The 6438-nt window shown below is 44.5% G+C and overlaps 1 long non-coding RNA gene across 1 annotated transcript; it reads right to left on the reverse strand.

Annotated features, from left to right (window-relative positions):
- Positions 1–2014: 2014 nt before the first annotated feature.
- On the reverse strand, positions 2015–4018 carry LOC124902398 (uncharacterized). The gene is made up of 2 exons (XR_007062093.1): positions 3898–4018; positions 2015–3532 (listed from the first exon to the last, which is right to left on the reverse strand). It is a non-coding gene; the product is annotated as an uncharacterized LOC124902398 (long non-coding RNA).
- Positions 4019–6438: the final 2420 nt, after the last annotated feature.

Here is a 6438-nt window from a genome sequence, read left to right on the forward strand (position 1 = left end):
CTGTAACATCTCGGATTTATTTCAGTTTGAACCTTTAATGTATTGCTTAAGCAAGTGGGTGAGGGAAGTGTGAACCCTGCCTGCCTTCTCTCAGCTCTCCCTCACTGAAGATGGGAACGCAGCCCTCCTCAGTGGCACCTGGGACCCCTGGCTGCAGTGGCCAGGTGACATTCCTGTGGAGAAAAGCACTTTAGGACCAGTCTGCAGATGCCCTAGCATGAATCTTCTGCTTTACCGTGAAGCCTGGGAGAAAACAAAGGGGAAAAATGTGAGAAGAACTACGCTGCCCTTCCTGAATAGAAACCTGTTGTGCAGAGGCACATGCAGCTGAGGACAGAGCTCAGCATTTTACGTTAAATTTGCACATAGTTTCTGTGACCTCATCTGACAGACTGTTTTTGAGCTCCCTGTTGCCAATCTGTCTATTTTCCTGTTCACTTAAACCTAAGGGAATACATCAGCTGCAAGAGGTGACTCTGTTGCACTGTTGCTCCTGTATCCTCTTACGGCTGTCACAATGACACTGATATCAGACAGTGACATGAACCTTGATGTATGGTACATGCAGAGGAAGAATGTGCCATGGTTAGCCCAGCAGTCGTTACATGAGCTAAAATTGTGATAAGGGAAAAAGAAACACGTGTCAAACACCACATTCAAGGTACCCAGAAGTGAAAATGGAATAATCTTGACCGATTCATGATGGCAAAGCCACATTGCCTGTGTCATTCATGATCCTTCTCTATGATCTGTGTTTATGGAGTAGATCTATGTATAGCCTCTCTTACATAGAATAAGGTTCAATTGAAGGTGACAGAGAATCCCCAAAATAACAGTCCCTTAGAGAAGTTAGCATACTTCTTGCTCATGTAAAATCAGGCAGAGGCTTGGCCATCCAGGTTTGCTGTGGCAGCTCCGCTTCGTGAGCCATCAAAATTCCGCACTCCCCAGCTGTGCCCAGGACACAGCTCACTTCCTCATAGTCACATACGACTGCTGGAGCTCCAGGAAACACAACTGCATCCCAAGCTGCAGTCATGAAAAAGGAGTAGAAAAAACAAAAGACCTCCTCCCGTAAGGAAAGTCCCTGGAAGTCACAGACAAACAATTCCGCCTCTACCTCACTTTCCCGACTTTAGTTCCATGGCCACACTGACCTGCAAGGGAGGCTAAGAAGTGTAGTATCTACATGAATGATGATGTTATCAACTGAATATGTGGGGCTATAGTTACTAACAAAAAATGAGAGAATAAATATCGGGAAGAAACTAGGATTTTTAGACACACAGAACACTCATTCTGTAATCGTAATGATTTCTTTTTAAGAAACTATTTTACATTAACAAGAAAAGACTTGTGAAATCCAACAGAACACTGAGAAGCATATGAATAGGTAAATCAAAGTAGGAAAAACTTTAATAGGTTGAAAAGATGTGAAGGGAAACTCAGAAAAATTAGTGATCAGATAAAGGACACAAAAGAGCACTTTAGGTCAGGCACGGTGGCTCACGCCTGTAATCCCAGCACTTTGGGAAGCCGAGGCGGGTGGATCACCTGAGGTCAGGAGTTCAAGACCAGCCTGGCCAACATGGTGAAACCCTGTCTCTACTGAAAACACAAAAAATTAGCTGGGCGAGGTGGCAGGCGCCTGTAATTCCAGCTACTTGGGAGGCTGAGGCAGGAAAATCGCTTGACCCCAGGAGGGAGAGTTTGCAGTGAGCAGAGATTGCACCATTGCACTCCAGCCTGGGCAACAAGAGTGAAACTCCGTCTCAAAAAAAAAAAAAGAAAAAAGAAAGCACTTTATATCAGTTTATTAATTTTAGAAATTTGGATTATGCCAAAATTACTGGAAATGTATGTGGACATGTCATGTTTTATCTCAAGGATTCAGACACACTTGGAGATTTTCTTCGTACTTAGTGAAAATAATTATGCATATACTTTATGTCCCCAACCATCAAATCCTGGGAATATTCCCCTGACAAGAAGCCATAGAGGACATTTTCAAAGATCTTATTTGCAACATTTATTGTACTGCAAAGTATGCTAAATTTAGATGGCTTTTACTTGGAGAATTTATGCATAAGACATGGTTGTGTTTATTGTATACATTTATATTGATATACATATATATATTTCTCTGTATATATCATAGCTTTTACATACAATTTTATGTAAATGTATTTGCAGGTGGCAAGAGGACCCAATGGTCCCTAGTATAAATGTATTTGCATCTGTTTTTTGCTTGCGTGTGTTTATTTTCTGATTGTGTTTATTTTATACATTTATATAGATGTATATATTTTTCTTTATATATATTATAGCAATTACACACAATTTCATCATGATGCAATATAGCTATATTAACTATATATTCTATAGAAAATAGATATTTGTGCACATATATGCATACATACATACAAATAAAGCACTATTAGTAGGCCTCAAAAACAGTGTTGTGTGAATACAGTGAGTATATTCTAAGAACTGGATGGCTGTCTATAAATAAATGACTTAAGCATGCTATTTCTCCCACTCCTACACTTACCAAGATGAAAGGGTTTTCCCAGCTTTTCATTTGAATAAACTCTTGGAAATGGGATTCTCTTTCTTTGATTATTTCAGGTGGACAAATTTATACCAAAATCGTGGGCTTTTATAATCAATATCTTTATGATTGTTTTTCCTAAATATTATTTTTTAAAAAAAATGTTAAGTTGTATCCCGCCCAGGCGTGGTGGCTCACGCCTGTAATCCCAGAACTTTGGGAGGCCAAGGTGGGTGGATCATGAGGTCAAGAGATTGAGACCAGCCAGGCCAACATGGTGAAACCCCATCTCTACTAAAAATACAAAAATTAGCCGGGCATGGTGGCAGGGACCTGTAGTCCCAGCTACTCAGGAGGCTGAGGTAGGAGAATCACTTGAACCCGGAAGGTGGAGGTTGCAGTGAGCCGAAATTGCGCCACTGCACTCCAGCCTGGTGATAGAGCGAGACTCCGTCTCAAGAGAAAAAAAAAATTAAGTTGTCAAAAGAAAAAAAAAATTAAGTTGTACCCCTTGCTTGCCTTTTATTTTCCACAAGCAGATGAAACTCCTCCCCCACAAGCAGATGGAAGAACCTGTGCAGCGTCACTTCAGGGAAGCTACATGGCAGGGTGGAAGTAGAATGGACCTGCGCATTTTTAAAGCATTTTTTTACTTTGGTTCTTGGAGGACCCAAGGGGCTTGTAAAGAAGAAGAAGTGGGTGGACTGTGAGTTCGTAGCTAAAAGAAGGAGAGAGATGACCCAGCAACCTAGAAAAGCAGGAAGAAAGTGTGTGTTCCACCTTCCTCTCCTCTCCAGAATTCTGCAGGGTCTGGAGAAGAACAGAGGGGTCTCCGGCCCCCAGGAGAGGGCCTAAGCCAGACCCTGCTGAATGCAGAGAGCTATCTGCATGGTGAGTATCCAGGCAGACAGGACATGGGGCGGCTTCACATAGGATTCCCCCAGTACGGTGACGTGTAGAAGCAGCAGCGAGCCAGCACTCCTGAAAGAGACGCCTGAGGTCAACTCTTCTTTCCTGAAGAGGCTTTGCTCCTGAGGAGTCCCTGTACTTCTCTTTCTGCCAGAGTAAACCCAGCTCCCACACACTTACTGTCAAGGCAGGTGACAACTCTATAGCATCCCCAGGAATCATCAAAATCAGAACTGAAGACCCGGAGCATAGGCGGTTGGCTGCTGAGGAACCCCCAACGAAGGCAAGATGGTGGGGTCCTTGCAGACCTCAGGTCTTGCTATTCTCCAGTGAGGAAGGAGGAGACTCCAAATGGTTGCTATCACCCAGACCTCCTCCCCACAATGTTCATGCAGAGGGGATGAGACAGAAGAGCAACTGGCTGCCTGGCCACTCACCTCTGATACTTGGCTGTATCCTCCATGTCTCACTCTAGGACTGTTACTCACTTCCTGGTGCTCTGGGACACAGCAGAGAGGGCTGACTGGCTGTTCCGGAATGAATGGAGATGCCAAAAGCCTATGGAACAGGGTAATATCAGGTGATCTTCCATTCAAGTCCTATCTGGTTGGTACCTCCATGAGATTTTAAAAGTAGAAAAGATGGGCTTTCTGGAGGTCCATGCACTTCAGCCTGGTCTTTGGATGCAGAGGCCAGCTGGGAAGCTAGCAGTGCTTCTGGCCAAGACTAGATCCCTAGCCCAGGGTCTCAGGGCTCTCTGTAGCTTCCTGGCTTGTGCATGTGCAGTTCGTATCTGACATGATAGACTCTCATCACTGCACAAGCTAGGCTTTAGTTTGGTGACTCCATTCACTGAGTCAGCAGTGTCCAACAGACTTTTTCTGAAGTGGTTTTCTTTGCCTGCCACCTATTTTGGAGTCTAGAAAGCCAGAACCCTGTTTTCCATGTGCTTTATTCTTATGAGAGAAATCTCATGCACCTGACTCCTCAAGTACCTCAGGAACAACTGCAGAGTTTTCTCAATCCAGATGAAACTGGCTGGAACAAACTTCCTCAGAACTGAGTAGCCTTCAGAGTCTGACCCATTCTCCTGGTTCCTGAAAGCTGTCAATGGTCCTCAGCAGAGACCTTCCCTGGCCTCACTGTCCCTGCAGCCTTTCACCATCGTGCTCCTCCCGCACTCGCTACTGCCCCCAGCACATGCTGAAGGCTCAGACCTGGCCTTTCTTTCTCTCTGCACAAAGGCCCTTCTCTACCCATTTAAACAGGACACCACATATGCACTTAAGGGGTTCAAAAGGAGAGCACTGATCCTGATTGCCAGGTTCTGGGGATGTGGACAACTTTTGCCCTGGAGGGTGACAGCACCTGGGCTGGGTCTGGTTAATGGGTGATGGGCTGGGCTGGGCGAGGTGGCTCACGCCTGTAATCCCAGCACTTTGGGAGGCCGAGGCGGGTGGATCACAAGGTCAGGAGATCGAGACCATCCTGGCTAACTAACATGGTGAAACCCTGCCTCTACTAAAAATACAAAATTAGCTTGGCATGGTGGGGGGCGCCTGTAGTCCCAGCTACTTGGGAGGCTGAGGCAGGAGAATGGCGTGAACCCAGGAGGCGGAGCTTGCAGGGAGCCGAGATCGCGCCACTGCACTCCAGCCTGGGTGACAGAAGTGAGACTCCGTCTCAGAAAAAAAAAAAAAAAGGGTGATGGACTGGTGTTTGCCATCAGTGTAGGGTCACTTGGAAGTGACGGGGTAAAACTCCTGTGGTCAAGCTGGGCATGGTGGCTCACGCCTGTAATCCCAGCACTTTGGGCAGCCAAGGAGGATGGATCCCCTGAGGTCAGGAGTTCGAGACCAGCCTGGCCAACATGGTGAAACCCCGTCTCTACTAAAAATACAAAAATTATCTGGGTGTGGTTGCCCATGCCTGTAATCCCAGCTACTCGGGAGGCTGAGGCAGAATTGCTTGAACCTGGGAGGCAGAGGTTGCAATGAGCCAAGATCGCACCATTGCACCGCAGCCTGGGTGGCAGAGTGAGACCACATCTCAAAAAAAAAAAAAACACAAAACAAAACAAAAAAACCTCTTGTAGCCTTTGTGGCACCCTTCACAGTTAGCAGGTAGCAAGATGGCCTAGTGCCCCCTAGTATAAATGTATTTGCTCTGTTTTTGTGTTTGTGTGTGTTTATTTTCTGGTTGTATTTATTTTATATATTTATATTTATATATGTCTATATGTTTATCTCTATATATTATACACATATGTCTCTATATATGATCTCTATATTTATTGAGGTATAAATATATTGTACAGGCCAAGGGCAAACTTCTCCTTTTCCCTCTAGAGTTTCTCTTAAGTAACATCTGACCAAAGGCAGATTAATCTGAGAAAAAGCATGCAAATGTATTAACATGCACATGAATTGTACAGAATATAGAAGCAAAGGGTTGATATTTTATGACATCTTCAGGTAACACAAAGAATAGGGGTATGGATATGGCAAAACAGGGAATGGTGGCAAAACCAGTTATCAGAGGAGAAAGAAAGGCCTGGCTAGGAAAGGTGGTCTTGTTATTTACAAGAATCCTCACAGATAGTAGCCCTCAGAGAAAGAGACGGTAAATGTTTTTTTTTTCAGACCTCTACAGGTGTCAGACTCTCAGTTGAACTTTCTTACATCCAGACAAGGAAGGGCCTCGGAAGCTTCAATTATGACTCTATCAATGCAGCTTTTCTATAAAGTTGCAAATCTCATCTGCAAAAGACAACTTTGCAGGGCTTATTCTGATTGCAGGCCCTCTGAAGGGCCATCTCAAAATATGTCAAATAAGTATATTCTGGGTACAATATTATAGTTTCCGTGTGTGTGTGTGTGTGTGTGTGTGTGTGTGTGTGTGTGTATTTGCGCATAGATGATTCTTACTCCTTTGCATAGAGAAACAGCACTACAATCTGGTAAACAGCACTACGATGT

The sequence above is a fragment of the Homo sapiens genome, chromosome 10 (assembly GCF_000001405.40).
Source record: "Homo sapiens chromosome 10, GRCh38.p14 Primary Assembly".
NCBI classification, from domain to species: domain Eukaryota; kingdom Metazoa; phylum Chordata; class Mammalia; order Primates; family Hominidae; genus Homo; species Homo sapiens.